This window comes from Homo sapiens, chromosome 7 (genome assembly GCF_000001405.40).
Source record: "Homo sapiens chromosome 7, GRCh38.p14 Primary Assembly".
In the NCBI taxonomy this organism is placed as follows: domain Eukaryota; kingdom Metazoa; phylum Chordata; class Mammalia; order Primates; family Hominidae; genus Homo; species Homo sapiens.
In genome coordinates, this window is record NC_000007.14 from 35,871,361 (window position 1) to 35,896,864 (window position 25,504).

The window sequence follows — 25,504 nt, forward strand, 5'->3', positions numbered from 1 at the left end:
TCACTAGCCATATGTGGCTATTTAAGTTAATTCAAATTAAATAAAATTAAATATCAGCTCCTCATTTGCAGTAGTCAGATTTCAAGGACTAAGTAGCCACATGGACAAGTGGAAGGTGGTGTTCAGTTGCTGCTCATAATAGTTGATACCCTAGGATTTGGAGATGCAGTGTGGATACACAACAATTCCATCATCTCAGAAAGTGTTATTGGATAGTGTGGCTACAGACTTTTCTTGCTCAGCAATCTTAGTCTCCGCATGTTAGTCTCTTCATGCATCAGGTAGCATCTATAAAACATGCCAAAAGGAAGTAGGCTATCTCTAAAAGTGTCCCAAACTTTTTGTCTTGTAAATTAGCTTATCAGCATACTTGGAGCCTCTAGCCTTAATAAGGACTTGTTATCCTTATTAAATGTGTTATCAGGAGAAAGCCTGTCTTTTTCTGGAGGAATTATTCCCTTTTCATTTGAATCCGTGTTTGCTTTATCTTGGGTTCCTGAAAACTGATATTTTGCATTTAACAGCAGCATATGCCCAGGATGAATGATAATACATCTTCTGATACAGAGCTTGAGATTACAGAATGTCTTAAATTGTTCCAGGAACTGTTGTTATCATTTAAGTCCAATAATCAGTTAGTAAGGTTTCACCCTACCAGAATACACTTTTTTTTAAAATAAAAACTGTCTGGACTTTTGCTGATTACATTGTCCAGAATGTGGAGTATCACATTTGAGAAAAGGATTGGATCCTAGCCATAACATAAATACAAGGGTAATACATCCATGCTGAGAAAGATTAAGGAATGATAGTAAGTTTATTTGAGTGAGTGGTTGGGGCCAAACTTGATAGAGAATAGTCCAGGAAGACATTTACTGTAAATGGTAGATTAGATGTTCTTCTCTGATTAATTACATTTGAACTCTGTGAATTATTAAATCACTCAAACTGCTTATTTGTATTATTAGATGCACATTTAAGTTATATAAGTATTACATGTCTTTAGTGGTGATCACTATTTTATCAGTTCCTCTGTCTGTCTTTATACCAAGTATGAGTCATAAACCCAGTATGAATTTGCCAAGAGATTGGCAGACTATTTGTATATATGCTTTTCTTTCAAATAATCTGGATTTCCAATGCCCGCTATCATCAATTCTAAAGGTAATGTGGTAGTAGGTAGATTTAGTTTGCTAACAGTTTCCCAGTTGGTTTTGATAAACTCGAACGTCCCTACCATCACCCCTTGTAGGAAATCACTGATGTAATGTATGATATTAACATCTGCACCAATTACTCTTACAGGTGGAACAATCCAAAGTTTTAATCAAAGAAGGTGGTGTTCAGTTGCTGCTCACAATAGTTGATACCCCAGGATTTGGAGATGCAGTGGATAATAGTAATTGGTAAGAAGGGTTTGTCCTCACAACTTTGCAGTGCATTTGGGGTACTGGGGTGGTTAAACTTTTTCTTCTTAACATTTTAAAACTTCTCATCTTAGCAAAGGTCACCAAACTTCAAGCAACATGACTTGGGTTTGTATACCAACTTTGCCACTTATCTGACAAAGTTGTTTAACTTCTTTGAACCCATTTACTTTTCTATAAAATGGAGATAATACCTATCATAAAATTGTTTTTAAGACATATTCTAAAATAACATAGGTAAATAGAAGAATTCTCATTATTGTAAGAAATTTAAAACTGTTCACTTTAATTTTATTCATTTGTATAAATTCTATCTCAATCCTAATTTAAACCTGATATTTAGACTTTCAGTTTTTCTGTAAGTCCTAAGTGAAGAAAACAACTATGAAATTTTAGTCTGAAGTAATTATCTTAGTATTTTATAAATAATACTTTTATTTTTGTTTGAATTCACATTGTTTTTGAGGTAATTTTCTGTCAACTCTTAAAACTCCCAAGTTCACCATGAAGTTTTTTTATTATTTAAAGTAATCTCTCATTTGAAATTTTAAACTGCATATAATTGTTTTCATATTATGAAGTGTGTTATTAATACACTTATTAGTGCAAATAATATGCTAATATTTAGCTGTGTTTCGACAGTAAATAGTTTATTTTCTTTCATTTGGAAAGTTTTGAATAATGAATATTTATTCAACATAATTTATATTTTTGAATATATAGAATAACTTGACATATCTTCTACTGGTAAATTCATTTTGCCCATTTGAAAATACTGATTATTGTCCTTTAACAGTCATCAGTTAATTCATATGTAGAATTGCAGCTTGTTTTGTTTATTTGCGTTCTATAGCTGGCAGCCTGTTATCGACTACATTGATAGTAAATTTGAGGACTACCTAAATGCAGAATCACGAGTGAACAGACGTCAGATGCCTGATAACAGGGTGCAGTGTTGTTTATACTTCATTGCTCCTTCAGGACATGGGTCAGTACCTTGATACTTCTGATTCCTTTTTTGTTGTTGTTGCTTACTGTTACCTTTATGTGCATACTTTAGTAATCTTTAAGTTTGTGAAGTACACACAACTATAGCCATTATGAAGTACTAAATTTCATGTAGAAATGTCTTAGTTGAAAAGCCATTTTAAGTCCTATATAAGCTAACAGTGATTTTACTCCTTAGTTCTTCATTCATAAGGATTTTCCCTGCTTCATGAAATAAACAGTGTTGCCACCATGGTTTGAGGTCTCAATGTGGCAAATTTAGCTTTCATGTTGACCACTCTGCTACTAATAGAAATACCAAATAAAGAGAAGCAGCCATACCAGTTAGACATATTCAAAATAAATCCAAAGATGCTATTTATTATAAGTTTCATAGAAATGATTATCAAAAACACTTGCATGCCAATGTTTTCTTGTGCCATTTCTTTCTACAATAAATCTATTTGGCTTCTGTTTCACCTTAGCTGTCATAGACGTGTTGTTCAGGTATCATATTGTCAGTACTAATCTTTTGTTTATTAGGACTTAAGACCTAAGAATCTAGACATTAATCTAATCTGATTGTTCTGTTTGTTATAGTTAGCCTGTACTCCCTTTTTTTGTTTTTTGTACTTCTGCTGTCATTTTGAGTACATATATGTGTTATTGACAACTGCAGAATTTTCCAGTTATTCTTCCTCAGTCTTTTCCTTTGGGTAAGTAACTCAGTATATATAATTCAGCCACCTGATGATTATAACTCCACCATCTCTCCACCAAAAGAACTGTAGTAGCATCAGGCTAAATAGCATTAAGTTATCTAACACTCACATTACAGTAGTGTAAACCAATTCCTTCAAGTATACCTTTCTCTTCTATTTTTGGCTTCTTGCTCTCTTTTACTTTTTTATAGATAGGTCAATGCCCATTATCACTCTAGATGGATAAGGGAGCCTTAATTATATACTTATATGTTTGCACTGCCAGATTGTAGTGGAGTAAAGATGTTTCTTCTTTTATGTCTAATATTCTTTTACAGTACTCTCAGTTTACATGTTTAAATCACTAAACTGACTCTGACTTAAAAGGCTCAAAAAAAGTAATCTCAAAAATACAACATATTATATAACCTTTTATGAGTATTTGTGTAGCTACTTGAATTTGTATTTTTAAGTCATTCTCGTTTAACTTGTCAGGGCTTTTTCCTTTAAGCCAGCAGAGTGAAATCTTAACCTGCATTTAAGTCAATAAAACTTGTCAGCTTATAACCAATTTTATTATTTTAGATCTTCTGGACTCTCTCCAAGTTTAGTAATTCTCATGAAGTCACATTCCTTCCATCCCCTTGGGGAAAATTTTATTTCCTAAAATTGCATGGGAAATGAGAGCTTTTTTAAAAGAACAAATTTTTATATTCAAATGATATGTAGTGGCTTTGTGCCATTTCTTATTTGTCACAAGGGGTAAGATGTTTAAAATTGCTATTTCTTATATATAAAAATGTACCTTTGAACAATTTCTCAGTTTATTTTTAGAAATGGAGCAAAGTTTTGCCCTTTGGTACATGATATTGTGGATTAAGTGAAGGAATATGACACAGAATTTTATGTATAGAGTTCCAGATATCCTGCTCACTACAGACTGAAATTCCATGCAGTCTAATAGATGAATCAGAGCGTTTCCGTCTTGTCTGGGTAGTCCCTGGGTTCCCTTTTTGGAGGGATTTGTTTTTAGATAATTATAAATTGGTCCAACAGTGTACTTTCAGTGCCTCCTACCTCCCTCTACCAAGTATGAACTGCATGCATGGCTAATGTATGATTTCAGCTATTATTGCTTCATTTGCATTGTTCAGTATTTTGTAATTGTTATTAAAATAAAAAACTGACTTGGAACATGAATTTTAAAATGGTGTTTTATCCTTCTAGTATTGATTACCACTTTTAGAAAAATTGGTGTCATCCAGTGAGTTTTATACAGAAGGATTTTTTCTCTTATACATACATACATACATACATACAAAAAAAATTTGTCATTTGCCCTGTGGTTGTTCATTATGCTGTAGACTTTGAGGTTAAATAGTCTTTTCTCTCTAGTATGGGTTTATCTTCTAGAAACGATAAAGGATTTTCTGTTGCTTAAAAACAAGATTTAAAAACTAAATTTGTTGATGAAAAGACCAGCCAATATAAAACTAAATGGACAGAGGAAAAAATTCAACCAGAATGTAATATACATGTGAACTAAATGTTTTCTGTTGCTGACATTTTGTAGGCTTCTGAAATTTAATGGGACTTTTACAAGGTTTACCTTTTTTCCTAAAGTTTAATTTTTAAACTGACTTAAATGTTCTTTGACCCTTTGGTTATATTTAAGAAGTTGACTTCCCTAATTTCCTTGTTATGTTTATTTTTAAATATCTTTCTTTCTAGAAGTTGGGATATTATAATAAATACTCAGCAAGTATTGTTTTGCATTTAAATATAAAATCTTGTTATTTGGATTTTAATAGTTTATATTAAATGCCCTTAAGATTTATTAAAATTTTGGATTAACTGAACTCTGCTTTTTTGTCACTGGATTGATAAGCAGGCTTATATCTGACATAACAGCTTAATAAGGTAGTGGCAGTTTAAATTTGTCATGAATATGAATTGAAAAACCATAACAATTTAGAAATCTGAGATTGAATATTTCATGGCATTTATATTTAGTGTTTTATATAATGATTAATGAAAAGAAGCAAAACTTAAAATTTTTTTTCAAAAATGGATAGGTTCAGGCCAGATGCAATGGCTTACGCCTGTAATCCCAGCACTTTGGGGACCAAGGCAGGAGGACCATTGCTTGAGGCCACAGACTAGGCAACATAGTGAGATCCCATCTCTACAAAAAATTAAAAAGTTAGTTGAGGCTGGGCGCAGTGGCTCACACCTGTAATTCTAGCACTTTGAGAGGCTGAGGCAGGTGGATCACCTGAGGTCAGGAGTTCAAGACCAGCCTGGCCAACATGGTGAAACCTCGTCTCTACTAAAAATACAAAAATTAGCCAGGCTTGGTGGTGGATGCCTGTAATCCCAGCTACTCAGGAGGCTGAGGCAGGAGAATTGCTTGAACCCGGGAGGCGGAGATTGCAGTGAGCCAAGATTGTGCCACTGCACTCCAGACTGAGCAATAAGAGTGAAACTAAAAAAAGAAAAAAAAATTAGCTGGGCCTGGGGGTGCACTCTGTAGTCCTAGCTACCCAGGAGTCAAAGTGGAAGAATTGGAGGCTATGGTGAGCTATGACTACACCACTGCACTCCAGCCTGGGTGACAGAGCAAGACCCTGTCAAAAAAATAAATAAATAAAAATGGATAGGTTCTTTTAGTTAACACTAGTGAGGCAAGAACACAGTTTACAGATAATATAAACAGGGTTATTCCATCTACACACACTTTTTTCGTTGTGCTCCCTATTCTCTGAATGCCAGTGTCAATTTTCAGGGGATTTAAGACAAGGAGAATTAGAATAGGAGGCAGCTATCTTAATTCTCCATGTTTGCTTTCTCCCCCTCACTGTCTCTGTCTTTCTGCCTGTCAGCCTTACTACTACAGTAAAGTATATACAGTAATCTTTGTTAGTAAAAAGGACTGGACTATCTTATTAGTCTTAGGGCCCTAATCCCCCCAGTTTTAATATATATGTTTCTCTTTCTTTATTTTAAAATGTCAGTCAATTCAATTATTAGTATGTCAATAAAATTATTAACAGAATGAGACCTTTATTTCATTTTTCTCATGTTTTTATAAAAGTTAAAGAATACCACTTTAGAATGGTAGTCCTTTGCAAAATATTTCTAGTATCTTCATTTATTCTTGTGAAACATTCAATTTTAGTCCACAATATATTCCAGATTTGAGGACTTCGGTTCTCATTTAGAATTACTAAAGGACATAACGAAAATCACAGCAGCTTACTTTTTTTGTCAACAAATATTTGGGCACCTTCTTGAGTGTTAGATACCACGCTGGGTGCTGAGGATACAGATAAATTGAGATAAGGCCCTCGCTGTAGAGGGTATTTCAGTGAGAAGATGGGAGAAACAAATACAGATGCTCCTCAACTTGGGACAGGGTTACCTGTTGAAGTTGAAGATACGTTTAATAGCGTAGCCTACATTTGGGCAAAATCATCTAACATAAAACCTATTTTGTAATAATGTGTTGAATATCTCATGTAATTTATTGAATACTGTACTGAAAGTAAAAAGCAGAATGGTTGTATGGTTTCTATTCTATGCGTATTGCTTGCACACTATCAGAAAGTTGAAAAATTGTTAAGTGGAACCATAGTTAGTGAGGACCCATCTGTATGCAGGCAGGCAGTTATGGTACAGCACACTAAGTGTTGTCAGCACATAGAAATATGCCTAGTCTCAAGGTTAGAGAAGGATTCCCAGTGGAAATTGGATCATAAGCCAGTGTCCTAAAGGATGAATAGGAATTAGCCAGGCCAAGGAGAAGGAGGATGAGAATGGAGGAGGGTGTTCCAGCTAAGGTAGTAGCCTGTGGCCAGATGTCAAAGTATGATGCTTTCAAGGAATTGTAAGAAATTCAGAAAGGCTGGCACATTGGAAGTAGGAGGCGAAAGAAAGGCCAGGAATGCTAAGAGATGAGGTTAGCTTGAGAATCTATGTCTTCACAAGCTTTGTGGGCCATTCTAGTTAAGGCATCTGGCCTTTAGTAAGATTTTTGGTCAGGTCATAACTCCATAAGATTTGGATTTAGAAAGACCACTCTGACTTCAGTATGGATGATTCATGTTATAGTTATTCATTCCAAAGGACTTGGTGGCCTAGACTAAAGTAATGGAAATGGAGATATACATACATCATGCATACACACATCTATACACATACTATATATAGGAATAGGATTAGAGGAGGGGAGGAATCCTAGGTTTCACACTTGAGTAATGGGGAAGATTGTAATGCCATTCACTGAGATAGGAAGCGTAGAAGAGGGAAAATGGGGGTTCAGATGAGCTTTTGATTTTAAGGAGCCCATGGAACACCCAGGTAGCATATCCACTGGGTAAACACAAACCTGGAACTTAACAGTGAGATATGAGCTGTCTATGAAGATTTGGAAGTCAGTTGACCAATTGAAGATAATTGAAATCTATTGTAGTCATAATAATTGTACTGAATGTAGAGTAAGAAGAGAAAGCCTGGTAGGGAATTCTAAAGAATGTACTTCTTAAGGGACTAGCTTACTAAGAGGATCCTGAAAAGTATCCTAAGGAAGAAGAGCTTGTGAGAGAATAAGTAATGGTAAGCACCATGATAGAAGTATTTAGTCACCTTCTTGAAAGTACAGAGGCAAACTGGAGGCAGCAGCCAGATTGTAATGAATAAAAGGGATGTTGAAGATTATCTTGTGAGCATCTTGTCAGAGAAAGATAGTTGGTAGCAAGAACTGAATGTGGAGTTGGAAGAGGACTACCATTTTTCATTTTTAAAAAATCCTCCAGCCTGGGCAACCTGGCGAGACATTGTGTCTACAAAAAATACAAAAATTAGGCAGGCATGGTGGTGTGCACCTGTAGTCCCAGCTACTCAGGAGGCTGAGATGGGAGGATCTGAGCCTGGGAGGTGGGTTGCAGTGAGCTGAGATTACACCACTGCACTCCACCCAGGGCAACAGAGTGAGACCCTGTCTTAAAAAATTAAATAAAAAAAAAAAAATTAAAAACCTTGTAAATTTTGAGTAATAAATATAGAGATAATTCTAGGAAATTCTATTAGGAGCCTTTCTGGTTTTTCCAATTCCTCTTTAGGGCCAAAACCCTGTGACCAGGGTTCAAGGGCAGGAGTCAAAGCCTTAGCCACTCCAATGCTTCTTGAAGTCCTGTTCTACCTAACTTTTGCTGGCCTAATACATCTTCAGAGTGTTTCTGATAAGTAAGTAAAGTAGTTACATTGTATTTAACTAGCATTGGGGATGTGAAGAATCTTGTTCTCCCAAACTGATCAATTCAGTCAAATTAAATACTGTGTATTTCAGACTTAAACCATTGGATATTGAGTTTATGAAGCGTTTGCATGAAAAAGTGAATATCATCCCACTTATTGCCAAAGCAGACACACTCACACCAGAGGAATGCCAACAGTTTAAAAAACAGGTGAGCAGGATGTGTTAACCCAGGTTTCTTATACCGTTCTCATAATTTGCAGTTTTTACTATTTTTAGTATAATGTGTTGCAATCCATTCCTCTTACTGCTTTACTATATTGTCATTTATACTGTATTAGAAATAACTCTTCAATCTTCTGCCTTTGTCAGTTTTTAAATATGGCTGTTTTAAGTGTTCTGTAATAACACCCCCACACAGACAATTTCTCCCCATACTCTTTAGAATTATTTTCTTTTTTCTTTTCTCTTTTCTTTTCTTTTTTTTTCTTTTCTTTTTTTTTTTTTTTTTTTTGAATTATTTTCTTAGAATGAATTCCCAGGAAGTGGATTATTCTTTCAAAGGCTATGATTGTTTTTATGGGTCTTTATCTCCCCACTCCCCATTTTGTCATGGTGCTTTCCCAATAAAACAAATTTGTACATCTGTTTCACTGTGACTTTGCCAGCATTGTTATTTTTATTTTGAAAACTTTTTTGGAATGAAGTGGTAACCAATCATTTCTTTGTCTTTTCCTTTTATTTTCCCGAAAGGCTGAACATTTTAAAAACAAAGTCATTTTTTTCCCCCTTTTTGTAAACATCTGCTCAAATCCTTTGTCTTTTTGACCAGTAGTACTTGGTATTACCCGTATTTATTGATATGGGTTCTTTTTATTCTGGATATTTAGTTCTCTCTCATTTTCACAATATTTTTTCTGTTTTCTCTTTTGCTGCTTATTTTTGTTTTCAGTGCACTAATTTTGTTTTCAGTGCACTTTACGGGATATTTATAGTTTAAGTTATTGTTCAAACCTATGACCCTAAGATTAAGAGTCTCATGCTGTATGACTGAGCTAGCTGGAAGGCCACTAAACTGTTTTTCTAGACTCACGTCTAGTTGTCTCAATAATATTGAGTTACACAGTCACACATATTTCTAATTTAATTGTGTTTGGTTCGTTATATATTACATTTTATGAAATGTAAGGTCAATTCTGGAACCTTTCTCTATTCCAGTAGTCCAAAGGCCAGTAGTATATTGTTTAAACCACAGCAGCTTTATATAATATTTAAAAGTAGATTGTAATTATCTCTATTGTCCATATAGTCCTATTGTAACAAAATACTTTGTTTTTCACCTTTTTCAATATGAATTTCAGAATACCTTGAAACCTGTTATAAAAAGCCTGTTAAAATTTGCTTTGAAGTTGTGCTAAATTCATACTAATTTTCAGAAAGTTTTAGTACATTGTTTTTACTGTATCTAGTATTTTTGTGTTTTACACTTACCCATTCCCATTTTTGTTTTGTAATGTGCTATTTCTAAGTTTCAAACACTATCATATAATACATTTCTTTTTGTTTATTATGTGTTTCGATTTGGATTTTTACTGATAAAGGTAAAAAAGATGAATATGAAGTGACCTCTTCTTTCAAATTGGTCACATCCTGGTGGTTGTACTCAGGTCATTTTAATATACAACCTCTGACTAAAACCATTGCTTTTAGAGCTAGCTACTATTACTCATTTTTCTCGTCATCATGTATTTGTCAATTCCTTGTTTATTCTTTTTTTTTTTTTAAATATAGGTACGTACCCTAATTGTAAAAGAAGTGTGGTCCTATTTTTTTTCAGTGACAATTTTACTTCTGTTTACTTCTGTCTACTATAGTAACCATGTAACACAATTTGTTCAGGGTCCTTTTATAGCTGCTGGGAACCTTTGCCAAGAAAGTTGCACCAAAATATAAGTATAGACAGGGAAGCTAGGTTTAGGTATATTAGCCATTGGTTTGTTATGGGTTCAAATAAGGATAGGTAGTTGAAAATTATTTGGATGTCTGTATTCTGTTTAGAATTGGAGTGATTTTGAACATGATAATTTAATTTGAACTAGGTCATTTCTGATGTTAATAATAAGTTGTCTTCTCTAGGTTTCTGCATTCTCCTTATTAATTCTTGAGCTTCTTAATTTCTAGGATGTGTTTTCTCCCTGTGTCCTTCCCTAATCTTACACCTGTTGCTCCTCAATTTGTGTGTATGCACATGTACATGTAAGGATTTTTCTGATGAATGTTCAGGGAGCAGTGCTGTACTTAGTTTTACCTTACTTTTGCCAGATTCTACTAAAAATTTTACGTGAGTTTAGCCCTGTTTATTCAACTAAATAAGATACTTGGGAATTTATATCTAAAGGAAGAATCTCAGTCATTGTAAATAAATGACCTAAAGTCATTATTGTGGAAATCAATCAGAGAAATCCCTTTCTGGAGTTTTACATCCTTTTTGGAACTCTTTTGGTATGACAGCTATATGACTTTAACACTTCGGAAGTAATTGGATTTGGTGTTTATATATCAACTTCATAGTTAAAAAAAAAAAAAAGACTAGCGTAGTACTTTAATTTTAGATTACAACTTTGCATCATTAAAAAACAGTAAAGGATCTGGAACCAAGGACCCATATAGGAATCGAAGAGGCATGTAATGAACATAAGACTAATATACTAATTATGTATGGTGCTCTTTTGCTGACTACTTCTTCCATTTTAGATAATGAAAGAAATCCAAGAACATAAAATTAAAATATACGAATTTCCAGAAACAGATGATGAAGAAGAAAATAAACTTGTTAAAAAGATAAAGGTAGGTTCATCCCTGTACACACGCTAAAGTAATCTGAGGCCTTAAAAACATACTACAGCGTCCACAGGAAAGATCAAAAGTATCAGTGTTTTAAGTAGTTGGCTTACAAAATACCTAGGGAGATTTAATGTTGAATTCAACTTTATAGTTAACTTTGAAGATTAGCTAGTATATATAATAAGGAATTGTATAAACTACTGAGGTGAATAACACAATTCTTATTTCAAAGTGTTTTTAATTAACTGGCTTTCATATTATGTAATTTTTTTCTCTTAAAAAACAAGTGATGAGAAAGGAGAGAATTCGTTCTGTTATGTTTTAATTGCCAGACAAAAATGTATTTATTTTGTCTCTATAAAAGCCAACCAAAATTACAGCTAGATAGGAGGAGTAAGTTCTAGCGTTCTGTAGCATTGTAGGGTGGCTGTAGTTAACAGTAATTTAGTCTATATTTTCAGATAGCTAGAAGAGGATTATGAATGTTCCCAATACAGAAAAATAAGTTTGAATTGATAAATATGCTAATTACCCTAATTCAATCATTACATATTTGTATAAAGTTATCAGAATACCATACTGTACCCCACAAATGTGTACAATTATGTTTCAATTAAAAACAATAAAAACCAACCAAAAATTCACATCAACATATTTTCTGTATTTTATCATGGTTTTCTATGTACTTTGGCCCTAAAAATGGTATACTGAATAATGGCATTATGTAGGCAAATATCTTGGAATAATGAAATTCTTATACATTGCCTGTGAAGAATTTCTGCAGTTGTAAATAGCTGCTTAGGTATTTCTGGGAGCCACAGAATTGTGAAGGGCTGAACATGGATGAACACAAATCCAGTCACCAGGATTTGAATTTCCAAAGTTAGAGCTTAACAAATATACTATTACCTGGTTTAGGTACTGTTATAGTTGGTTTGTGATCAAGTAGGCAAGCTAGTCATTAGCCCCCCGCTTTTTTTCCCCCAAATGCCAATATAGTTTTTACCTTTTATCCCCCCCCAGGTATGGGACAACTTTCTGTAGTGATTTTTAGTAAATAATTTGACCAGTATATGCTTGAATATTCTTAACATTAAAGAGAAAATTTAATTTTATTTATTGTTTACCTTGGTGGCAATACCATGTGATGGCAGTTTACTAAATATTTGTTAAATGGCCTATAAAAACTAATGCAGAAACTATCGAAAGTAAATTTTTTTTTTTTTTGGCTAACCTGTTGAGTAATGTAACTTTTTTTATTTTTGAATTTGTGAGGACTACAGAGATGTATTTGAACAAGAATACTTTGTTTTATAGGACCGTTTACCTCTTGCTGTGGTAGGTAGTAATACTATCATTGAAGTTAATGGCAAAAGGGTCAGAGGAAGGCAGTATCCTTGGGGTGTTGCTGAAGGTAAGATTTTCTTCAGTGAATGACTTTCTAAAATATCTCAAAACTGATTAAAAATTTGTATTTATAGTAAGTAGTACAGTATGCACACTGTATTGATATAGTCTAGATTTTCAAGGATAATACTGATTTCAGGTTCTTGTAGTCTCAATTTTCTCTTTAAGTACATTGGTATTTTTCAAACCTGTATCCTACCAAGTCAGGCAAGTGTGTGTTAAGTCCTAAAGTTGTAGTATAGGTTGAACATTCTTAAAGAGAAAATTCAAAATGTGAATTGCTCCAAAATAAAACGTTTTGAGCACTGACATGCTGCTCAAAGGAAGCGCTCACTGGAGCATTCTGAATTTTGGATTTTTGGATTAAGGATGCTCGACCAGTAAGTATAGCACAGATATTCCAAAATTCCAAAAAAATTCAAAACACTTCTGGTCCCAAGCATTTCAAATAAGAGATACTCAACTTGCCCCACCCTGGCTGGCATCCTGCCTCATCATTAAGTCTATTTCTGTTTTCATATTTGAAAACATAACTAAAATTGAGGGGTTCTTTACCTGGGGCCCAAAGTTTGCTCCCAGGGAATCTAATGAACCACCTGGAATCAAACATTTGGAGAGAAGGCCAGTCACTTTTATCGGAACGTCAGATGGTCATGGACCCTCAAGAATGATTGAAGAAATTTGTAAGCCCAGTTAAAACATCCACAGTCTTCTTTCCTCAGTGCAAAAGTTGCCCTTTTTGATATCTCATATTTAGAGTAAAAAAATTTCGTTAATAAGAGATCCTCTTTACTAGTTTTGTAAGGAGTTTTTTGTTTTCTTTTTTAACCTGCTATCTTAAATTATTAAGGGTTAAGTAAGGAGTTTTAAATACCAATAAAATCTTAGTTATAACACCAAGCCTCAGAAGTACTTCCTCTTGGCAATAGGTTTATTGTATTGGTTTAATCTGATACTTAATCTTCTGTATTATAGTAAGCTGAAACCAAAATTGAGATTTGATTGTTTTATCTGTTTGTTGCTATTATTTTTGAACTTCGTTTTTTTTTTTAAGAGACAAGGTCTTGCTATGTTGCCCAACTGGCCTCAGAATCCTGAGCTCAAAGTGATCCTCCCACATCATGCTCCTCCCACATCACGTCACTATAAGCACACACCACTGCCCCTGGTTTATTTTGAACAATTCTTTAATTTTTAGGATATTGTTTCAGGTAACTGTCCTTATTGGCAATTTTCCCATCAGTGACCTGTGTACCTTGTTCCCAGCTCTCTCTATCATGCCCAGGCAACTTTTACTTGCTGAGCTGGGGCTTTAGAACTTACCCCTTAAAAATACGCACCGGAGAAATTGATTTGCATCTCTCTTTTGTAGTTTACCCCTCTACTCCCAAGTAATATTCCTATTTGTGATACATTCTTTAAAAATAAAAGTAAAGAACCTGAAAGTTCTTGGCTCCCTTTTTCATTTTGGTTACCTTAAGATTTTTTCTAAAGTGATTCTCCCTTCACTCACACCACTGAATTTTTTAAATGTATTATAGAATAAATATATTTTTTACCAATAATAAGATTTCCCCTTTCAGAATTTCAAAGTTGTTTCTGGAGAGTTCATTTGTTAGGTTTACATATCTATTTCTGAGGATTAAACTACAATAAGGCAATAATAGAGTACACTTCTCTGTCATGCCCTCACATTGAGTGTACTATGTTAGTGTTAAATCTCAAAAAAATTGATCTGTTTTGCATTTCCTCTTCTTGTTTTTACACCCCAAGTTCCTGTGAAATATTTTTTGAAAAGACTAGGTTTAGTGGAAATATAACATATGCGGTCTGCTTTTTTCTTACAGTTGAAAATGGTGAACATTGTGATTTTACAATCCTAAGAAATATGTTGATAAGGTAAGTGCAAGCAATGATGGAAATAGCATAAGATTTTCTTTCCCTAAGTAAGAGTTGGACAGATTTACTTTTTGCCTTCTATAAATGTAGCTAATTTAAATTTATATCTTCAGTCTAGCCATGAAGTAAACACTACATATAGATGATTCTTTCTCCAAGGTTTTGAAGTCATGAGCAAAAGTTGCAAAGTAATTTGTCTAGGGATACATAGGAAAATTAGTCTCTTTATCATTATACTTTGTGTCGAGATTTAATACTGAAATAACTATGGAAAGTGAAGTAGAAGAGGCTCTTTTTTCTTAATGTGAAAACCTTGTGAAAACTATATAAGAGAAGGCTAGTTTTTGAGTCCAAAGCTAGAATTTGAATGTTAAAAGGTGCACAGCCTGGTAGCTGGTGAGTAGGGCACATTTTATGTACTGGAACATAGTGAATAAAACCAGTATTCCTACCAGGTGAGAAATCCCTAAATTGTGTCTTACACACCTGCTGAAAGAGAAGGAAAGCCTATGGGAGCAGGACATCGAGGCCATCCTGATTAGAGGACCAGGACTGTAAAGAGGATCTCTTACTAATGAATTAGAAAAGCAGCAGCAGAGAGGAAATCATGAAGAAAAAGTGTAATAGGACTAGAGATGTTAGTAGACAAGGAACAGAAAGGGCATCAAAATGATCCTCAGTATTTTCATGTTGAGACACATTCATTCCCCTCCCTACCTGACTCCGCATTTCCCACTTTTCTCTCTTGCTTCTCTACACCTTTACCACATACTCTCTTTAACCTTCAGTTTTAGATGTCTGTCTTTAGTTGATATCTATTAATTTTCATACCTCTACCCACTTTCCCAAAACATAAGAATCTCTTTTGCTGTGTAAAGAAAGGTAGTTACATAAATATGGATAATAGTTGGAAATCATGGAATAACAAGAGGTCATTCTCAAGGTGAGAAGTGAGGGGGAAAATTTAAGACAGTCAAACTGCTACCTCAAGAAATACAATAGAGGTGAGAGTGAATTTTGAAATTAAATAAATGGCATGTAATTGATCTTTATTTTCAAAGGAGCAGGTGTTCTTGGTAGGAACTACATGATAGGTTTAATTCAGCAGTTGAGGTTGCCAGGCCTCACTTAGTGGAGAAGAGCAAAAGCACGAGAAGGTCATCTTCTGGGTTTTGAGAATACAACACTTCAGGCTCTATTATGAACCATTCCCTTCCTCTTCCATTCTTAAGGTGTGACTTCAAAAGAATACATATTAATAATATAATCTGCTATGACAGTATATAAGTAGAGAATGTTTAATAAATACTAATTTACCATTGCATTCCTCTTGTTTTTAAATCTTCTATGGTACTTGCCTAGTGCTTGACACAATGGCATTCTATAACTTTTTCTTGTGTATTTTAAAAGTATACAATCAATAATTTCCTACATACCTAAAACACTGTAGAGGGGAAAGCTAGTTACTGAGCCAGAGGCTACTTTGTTGAGATGGAGTCTCACTTTCTTGCCCAGGCTGGAGTGCAGTGGCACGATCTTGGCTCGCTGCAGCCTCCACCCAGGTTCAAGTAATTCTCCTGCCTCAGCTTCCTGAGTAGCTGGGATTATAGGCATGCACCACTACACCTGACTAATTTTTGTATTTTTAGTAGAGACAGGGTTTCACCGTGTTGGCCAGGCTGGTCTCAAACTCCTGACCTCAAGTAAACCACCTGCCTCAGCCTCCCACAGTGCTGGGATTACGGGCTTGAGCCACCACACCCACCCAGCCCAGAGGCTACTTTGAATATTCGAAGGTTCACAGCCTGGCGGCTAGTGAGGGACCTCCCTAGTATAAGCATTACAGAGCAAATTGACCATGCCTGCAGGAAGATTTAATACAGCAGAGCAGCAAGACTTTTATGCCTAAAAATTCTAAAGTTATTATTAAAAAGATGTGTATTTAATTTAGCTCATGTCTTTAAGACAAAGCCATCTAGTGGATATTTAATAAATACTTGAAGGAAGGAAATAAAATACCAATACCAATATTACAGATGTCTGTAAATCCCAAATAATTGAAATCTTGCAGGTCAAAGGAATAGTGATTGCTTCTAAGAAAGAGGCAAGTTCAAAGAAGTTCTCTTGCTAATTAAGAGAACTAACTTACTCCAGGCAAACCAAGGAAGACGATGGAAAGGAGGAAAACTATACAAATATTTTCAGGGTGTGGATATGGGTGTTTCAGAAATCAAATGGGGAAAGAAAACAAAAGGAGAACAGAAAGAGTTACGATATCAGCAATGGGAAATGGAAGAGACAAATTCCTGAAACTGTGGGGAAACTATTGCTAATTAACAAATTATTTTGAGAATGGAGGAGTGGGTTGAATCATAAAATGATAAAGTATATTTAAATGGAAATAAAGACTTTCATAACCTGAAAAAATCAGAATTATGTAGTCGTATAGAAGACTTTAGTGATTTTAGTGAAAAGAAAAATTATTCATTATCTAAAATATTAGATGACACTAACAAAAATAACTTAACAATTAGTAAATTCACCTTACTTTTATCTTACACATTCATGCAAACATTTCATGTAAGTTTTCTTCCTTAGGACCTTTAACGATTTTTCAGTGATGCAGTGATGATATGTAATATATAATAAATAAAATCAGGCCAGGTGCAGTGGTTCACACCTGTAATCCCAGCATTTTGGCAGGCGAAGGTGGGAGAATTGCTTGAGCTCAGGAGTTCAAGACTGGCCTGGGCAACATGGTGAAACCTCGTCCCTACTAAAAATACAAGAAATAGTCGGGCGTGGTGGTGCATGCCTGTAGTCCCAGCTACTCAGGAGGCTGAGGTGGGAGGATGGTTTGAGCCTGAAAGGCAGAGATTGTAGTGAGCTGAGATCGTACCACTGCATTCCATCCAGCCTGGGCAACAGAGCGAGACCCTGTATCAAAAAAAAAAAAAAAAAAAAAACGGAAAAGAAAAATTAAATAAACATTGTTTTATATTGGCATAGGTATTTGTTATTTTTCTCCACTTAGAGAAACTGGTTCCAAAAAGTGTTTATCATATCTCAGCTTCAATCTTGAGTTATGAATTCTGTTAAAATTCCTATCATCTGCTATCTGCATTGGGATGCAAAAGGTAATGGCATGTTCCTTGTAAAGGGGATCTTACAGTTGAAGAGATATGATGTCACCTGTGACGTATACTTGTACCAAAAATGAATGACAACCAAGGAGGAAATGGTCATGGTTGGAATGCTTTGATGTCAAGGCTGGGAAAAAGGTTTCCAAAGCAATTAAGTCTTTGACGAGAGATTGACAAATTAGCATGAACTGTTCAGTGTCAGCCGCCAGATATGCCAGGAGTAGGGAGCTGCCTGACTTGCCTGAAGTGGAGTGGTAGAACTTCAGAAGTAACTATTGTGGCTATAAGAGAACGTGAATTTATTGAGGGACAGAGTCTGGGAGATGAGATTTTTGGAAAAACCAGACTTAGGACTAAGGGGAGTCAACTATCAGAGAATTGCATGGAAATGTCAGTACGAAATGAATCAGAGTAATTGAATATCACATTTTGTTCCCAAAGGGGGAGATTCAAGAAGCTGGATTGTGAAGTAACAGTAAAGGTTCTCTGGTTGTAAGGAATGATAAAAACAGTACAACAATACACTTTTTTTTTCTTTTTAAGACGGTCTCTTGCTCATGTACTCAGGATGGAGTGCAATGCGTGATCTTGGCTCACTGCAACCTCCACTTCCTGGGTTCAAGCGATTCTCCTGCCTCAGCCTCCCAAGTAGCTGGGATTATAGGTGCTTGCCACCACGCCCAACTGATTTTTGTATTTTTAGTAGAGATGGGGTTCCACCATGTTGGCCAGGCTGGTCTCGAACCCCTGAGCTCAGGCAATCTGCCCGCCCCGGCCTCTCAAAGTGTTGGGATTACAGGTGTGAGCCAGCGTGCCCAGCCAACAATACACCTTTGTGTTTGTCTCCCAGAAGGGAGTTTTAGTAAAGTGGTGAAGATGAATGATGGCAGATATAGGAAGTTTGAGATAGAATGGATGATGAGAAGAGAGAGGACTGACAATACGGTATTGCCACACCATGTATATCCAAGAACACTACATTGGTAAAGGATATCCATAGAGCAGCTAAGGATATCTTCAGTGTCTTGAATTATTAAATAATGATGACATCATCTCATATGTATTGTAGACTTATATATATTGATTTTATATATGATAGAAATGCTGTAAGCAAAAATTTGTTTAACCGAAATACCACTTTCACTAGACAGTTTGAAGAAACAGAAAATTACTCTAAAATTTCCTTGTTTGAAAACAACTTGATATGTGATCTGAAATTTATTATTATGTATTAATAAAAACTCATATATTACCTTAGTAATATTGCTAAAAGGCAGTGTCTTTTAGATTTTATGAGCTTCAGTAGTGGCCAATCTGCACTCTGTTGTCTAGTATTTAAATAGATAATATAAAGATGAATACTCTTTCATAGAAAGGTCATCCTTCAGTAACTGTTTTTGGGGATTTATAGGTCTTAAAATGTCACTGGAATCTAAATTTGGTGTCAAGTTAGCTTATTTTTTGTTGGTTTACTTTGAGTGTAAATGAAAACAGATGAATGCCACCTTCCTTAACAATAGTCTTTTGTTCATTTTAAATCTGAAATTTTTGTTTTGGTAAAATTTTGAATTCATATTAAAACTTTTTAAGCTTTTTTCCCCCTAGCTATTAATAGAAGCAAACTCTTGCTGTTTGTTTATGACAGAACACACATGCAGGACTTGAAAGATGTTACTAATAATGTCCACTATGAGAACTACAGAAGCAGAAAACTTGCAGCTGTGACTTATAATGGAGTTGATAACAACAAGAATAAAGGGCAGCTGACTAAGTAAGTATATATTTTTTTCTCCAAAAAGGTATTATTTCTGTAGTCAATAATCATATTGTTTCATTTTCATTAAATTTCTTCTGGCTACTCAGTAGAAAATTTGGATAATGTTCTTTATGCACAGCAGCATAAATTTATATTGTTATGCTTTGTTAATAGTAGAAGCTTTTTTGAATGAACCATTTTGATAGTTTTCACTTACAAATTATGTGGAAACAAAGGACAGGCTTTAACAAAAGGAATATTTAGATGAATTTGTTCTTGGTTACCTTCTCTATTCCTATTCCAGGGAGTAAATTAGCTGGAGTTTCGTTTTCTTCTTTTGGTTGTTAGAGTGGTGTAAGTGACTACCAAGTGTGTAGCTTTGCCCTGTTGAGCTTATATCTCAAGCTGTGGTGGTTTCATGTTGGGTTCGAAAAAAGAGATGTGTGAGGAAGCTGGTAACCATGTCTGTGCCCTACTTTTTAAAAATCTGTCATTATTGAAAATCATAATTACATCATATGTCACTTAACAGTGGGGATACATTTCTGAGAAATGTGTCATTGGGCTATTTTGTCATTTTGTAAACATCATAGAGTATCTACACAAACCTAGATGGTAGAGCCTTCTACACACCTAGGTTATGTGGTCTAGCTATTCCTTGCAGGCTATAAACCTATACAGCATGTTACTGTACTGAATGTTATAGACAGTTGTAACATAATGTCAAGTATTTGTGTATCTAAACATAGAAAAGGTGCAGTAAAAATACAGTGTAAAAGATTAAAAATGGTATATCTGTATAGGGCACTTGGTTTGAATGGAGTTTGCAGGACTGGAGATTGATTGCTCTGGATGAGTCAGTGAGTGTGCAGTGAGTGAACGTGAAGACCTAGGACATTACTGTACACTACTGTGGACTTTATGAACACTGTACACTTAGGCTATACTAAATTTATTTTTTAAATTTCTCTTCAATAATCTTACTTTGCTGTAACTTTATTTTATAATAACTTAAATTTTAAAAAACTTTTTGGTTCTTTTGTAGTAACACTTAGCTTAAAACACAAACACATTGAACAGATGTAGAAAGATATTATCTTTATAATCTTTATAAGCTTTTTTCTATTTTAAAAGTTCTTTCTTTTTTCATTTATACCTTTTTTTGTTGTTGTTAAAAACAAAGACATAAACTTACACATTAGCCTAGGCCTACTCAGGGTCAAGATCATCAAGATGCCACTGGGCAGTAGGAATCTATGGGCCACCATCATATATGCCATCCCTTGTTTACTGAAATGTCATTATGCAGTACATAGCTATATTGCAAAACCATTTTAAATAATGTGCATTTGTAGCTAGGTGTTATCTACAATTAGACGATAATCCTGAAGGATCAACTATATAAATACGAAAGACAAGTTCTCAAAATAGCTATAGTATTTTCCATAGTGGTTAACATGCCTTATAATGGAATAGAAAAATGTCCCTTCTTAAATATTTAAAATACAAGATTCTGTTTGAGGTAAGCCTCAATATGTGAACAAAAGGAAGGCTTTTTATCTCTTTTGAGCAAAATGTTTATTGAGTAACTTTGGCACAAAAATGTAAGGACCCATCATAGTGAATATTGTTCATAAAATCCTAATTCACTTTAAACTTATCATTAACGATGCACTTTTTAACTCATTAAAAGAAACGCATACACAAAGCTACTGATAATTTTGTATGTTAAAGTACTAGTACATATTTTTTGTTAAATATATGTACTTATTCAATATATTTTTTAAAACATTTGTTAAGTTGTAGATAAAAGGAATTATTTATTTGTTCCCATGTCTCAAATATAAGGCTTTTTAAAGTAGTGCTGTTGGATGCAGGTAAGATAATTCATGGAAAAATAGAAAACTTTACAGTATCATTAAGTTTCTTTCTGCATATACAAAATTCTACTGTGTGGATACATGAGTTAAACTATATCCCAGGTGAAAACATAATTAGTAGAATTCTACTGGAAATATATCTCTTAAAGAGAGGAATCATGACCATACTTTGCCTATGCAAATAAAAAAAGAAATGTTTGCATTGCTAAAAAGCAAATTGGCCCAGGAGCTAGCATAATATTTTATTTTATGTTAATAATAAATAGGAATTAGACTGTTACTACTTCATTGAATAACGCATACTGAACCTGAAAGAAATCGCTTAGAAGTTTTATCTATTAGTTGTATCTGACATTGTCTTGAAAATGTTAGCAATTTCAAAAAATATTTTTGTTAAATTTTTCTTTAAAAGTCATTAACAACTTATGGTGCTTTAGCTGATGTAAGGTGCTTTTCCTCATAGCTCAGTACATATCCATGAATAACTGAAAAGAAAGACTAATGTTTAAATAAGTGAAGTAGGTGTGAGTTTAGGCTTCTTTTAATGTTCTTTTTGTATTGCTCTCATGTGACTCTATAGCAACGTATTCTTTGACAGTGGTAGTGGGGAGGGGTTGAGAGTTGCAAGAATTTTGGAATGGAAGGTGAACCTATTGAAAATTTATAGTTAAATTGATCTTTGGCAATGTATGTTTCACAAAGTGCTAATCACACTTTGGTTTTAGAATATAAGCTAAACTTTTTAAAGATGTTAGACATTGAATAGTAAAATACATTCATGTGCCACATAATGATGTTTCAGTCAATGACCGACTGCATATACAAGATCCCATAATATCGTGTGTCTATACCATAGAGCCTAAGTGTGTAGTAGGTTATACTATCTAAGGTTGTGTAAGTACACTATGTTGTTGAACCGATGACAAGTGAATTTCTCAGAATGTATCCCCGTTGTTAAGCAGTGCATGACTGTGAATCAATTTATCTTATATTTAATTTTCTGAGGTAGTTTTGGGCACACTGTAGAGTCTATTGAAACATGAAGTAAACATTAAAAATACATGTGTAGATGTCTGAAAATGTGCCTTTCTGTTACGTCAATAGCCCTAGAACAATTCTATTTCAGAGGGACTTAAAACAAGAAATAGATTGTGTGGTTTAAATCTGAAGAATAGCTGAACTTGTCCAGTCAGCTATAATTTGTCTCAAGGTTAGATCTGGAGAAGTGGATGCTGTTCTTAGCAGCTATCCAGTAATTACCTGTTTCTGACAAAGTATGGAGCCATCCAAGTACTTCTTGCATCCCTGTATGGAGGGTAATGGGTGGTTGAAAGCCACAGAAAGGGTAACCTCTCAAATCAAAGAAAATTCAGCAAGGGTTTGTAAAGGAAAGGGGAGAAGAGTTGGTCATATGCAGATTGCTGATCTCTTAAAGGAAGTGTGATCCCCAATAAGAGGAGGGCCGTCTTTTTTTTTTTTTTTTTCTAAACTTCCTTCTTGAAGTTTTGTCTGCCTCCTTTTTCCTTGATCTTCCTTGTACCCTTTACTTAAAATCACATTTTATTGGTGACTCTTTTTCAGAACTGATGTCTATCATTGGTACCAATTGTGACAATAGATACCTTGCTCCAAGTTGGGGCACACCCTTGTCTCTCTTTCCCTTATGTTAATTTATTTTTCTGTTCTCTATAGCCTTCTCCATCAGTCATCTTGGGAAAACTTTATAAGTGAATGACTAAAAATACAAGTTTCAAAGGCAGATTCTCAGAATTCTTGATACATGACAGAGTTTTCATTGATCTAAATAGAAATAAAGACAATTTGCTGAAAATTTCAAGTTGTTTCAAAAAATTAAACTTAGTTATATCTTTTACTCTTTATTCAAGTGTCCTTTCATGAAATTATAATGATAGTAGTTGGAAGTTTTGTTTATGTTTGGTTTTAATACTCTCACATGGCAAAACAAAATGTTGGCAACCATTATTACTCAAAATTTTTAGAAATTTTTATTGAACTTTGAAATTATTTAAGTGAAATTCCTTTGGAAAATTTTGCACATAGTGACCTACTAACCACTGGAGCAAAAGTATGTAAATCTACTTGCTTAATTTGTTCTTTAGGAAAGACCACACACATAATTTAAATGAAACATGATTGTCTTTTATTATACTCCAAATGTGGGTCATATGTAATGCAGCAAAGTAGAACTTGACTAGGTCATCCTTATGTGGCATGGTGGCTATAATTCTCTTATTGGTCACATGAAGGGATGTGGCTTGCAGGAATTTTAACCTTATAAAGACAACCCTAGAAGGAGCTAAATCATTGGGGGTTTAGTTTCATATTCCGGTTATGTTGTAATCATTTTCTTTTTCTTGTTTTACTAGGCTTTCTTCATTTCTTTGTCTGGGTTTTTAATTTCACTGATAGGTTTATAAGCTTTACTACTATATGGGGGTGGGTAAGAGTTTCCTATTAAAAAGCAGGCAGGCAATAATACAACTTAAATGGTTTTTCCAGCCATTTAATAAAAGGTTTTACTTGGAAAAAAATAGTAAATGTGAAGATAAAAAGTGATCTCCCTACATTTTCTACATTATAAGCACAATTTTTTGTTTCGATTTTCTAAAAATAAAGATGACTAGAAGTGAGGTGTTAATATAAAAATTAAAAATTTGAAAGATCATTTTTACTGGTGAGAGACTTCAATAATTCATTTTAAATATGCATGAACATTTTTTCACAGTATTTGAGTATATTTGGTCAGATTATTTTTACAAGACTAAAAAACTTACAGTATCTTAACTGTTAAATAATTGCAAATTTCTTTTAGAAACACACATTTGCAGGTTTAAAACTTTCAAGACTTTCAGAAGATAATTGCACAGCATATTTATTTTTATAGTGATTTAGTGTAATGATTATGAACATAATTTGGGAAATAAATTAGCTTTAGCGAATTTTACTGTAAATTTTTTATTTAGGGCACATACCTTAATAATTTGTGAAAGCTATGCATTTGCCTTTAATTGCAGCTTTTAGCATGCTTTACTTTAAATGTGCCAAATCACTAATTTTTTTTCCTTTAGGTATGATACAGTTGAAGGCATGTAAGGCAGGGGATTTTAAATACTTAAATTTTGAATTTAAATGAAGATATTTTTTTCTTCGAGATGGACTCCTGCTCTGTCAGCCAGGCTGGAGTACAGTGGCACGATCTTGGCTCACTGCAACCTCTGCCTCCTGGGTTCAAGCAATTCTCCTGTCTCAGCCTCCCAAGTAGCTGGAATTACAGGCGTGTGCCACCACGCCCGGCTAATTTTTGTATTTTTAGTAAAGATGGAGTTTCACCATGTTGGCCACGCTGGTTTCAAACTCGTGACTTTGTGATCTGCCTGCCTTGGCCTCCCAAACTGCTAGCATTACAGGTGTGAACCACCGTGCCCGGCTTAAAAGATTTGAAACATCATTGCATGTTTTATCCGCAGTCTCTTATTTTCCCCCCTAGAGTTATTTAAATAATAATTTAGGTGGCAAAAATACTTGCTCTTTCCCAAGGATAAGATAAACATTTTATAGATGAGTTGTATAAGTAGGAATAGATATTTCTCTCTGATTTCTAATTTAATATATTTACAATCATAATTGTTGGAAGTTGCTTAAATACACATTCAGTTACTTAAGGTTAGCAATCACAAAATTGTTTTTAGATTGTTTCTTTTTTAGAGACTAAAAAAGATTTTTGGGGTGTTAGGGGACAGTGGGAATTATAGACTCTTTGAAAATCTAACAAAAGCTTTGGACCCTTTCACCGGAAGAATCCTGGCAAACACAAACACACATTTGGTATGCTGTTTCAGGGCAGTCATTGACACTGTGTGTGCTCAAGAGATCAGAGGCAACTGTATTAAAAACACCTGCCATTAATATGAGGAGTATATTATTAAGAAGCATCTCAACTTTTAACAAAAAAAGATGATATTTACACTTGAAAATGTTTTTCAGCTGACTCCACTTTTAAAATGCAGGTTCTTGTTCTAAGTTAATATGTCTGGTTAGTTTCATTTTCAGAACTTTTGATTCATTGTTTAATTGGAAAAATATATGTCAGGTTAGCATGTAGAAGTTTTCTTTTAGTGAAGAAATATCCTTGATTTAAACAACATTTTATTCTAATTTACGCAATTGCGAAAACAGATCATCTTA

The 25,504-nt window shown here is 34.2% G+C and overlaps 1 protein-coding gene across 11 annotated transcripts in view; it reads left to right on the forward strand.

The window, feature by feature from the left end:
- SEPTIN7 (septin 7) overlaps positions 1–25,504 on the forward strand; it is a 114,778-nt gene that overhangs the window by 70,375 nt on the left and 18,899 nt on the right. For all 11 annotated transcript variants that reach the window (NM_001242956.1, XM_011515661.3, XM_011515656.3 and 8 more), the window contains 7 exons: positions 1,306–1,406; positions 2,281–2,415; positions 8,463–8,580; positions 11,124–11,216; positions 12,531–12,627; positions 14,468–14,519; positions 19,308–19,433. In NM_001242956.1, coding sequence (NP_001229885.1) covers positions 1,306–1,406; positions 2,281–2,415; positions 8,463–8,580; positions 11,124–11,216; positions 12,531–12,627; positions 14,468–14,519; positions 19,308–19,433 — 722 coding nt within the window. The remainder of the gene's footprint in view (positions 1–1,305; positions 1,407–2,280; positions 2,416–8,462; positions 8,581–11,123; positions 11,217–12,530; positions 12,628–14,467; positions 14,520–19,307; positions 19,434–25,504) is intronic.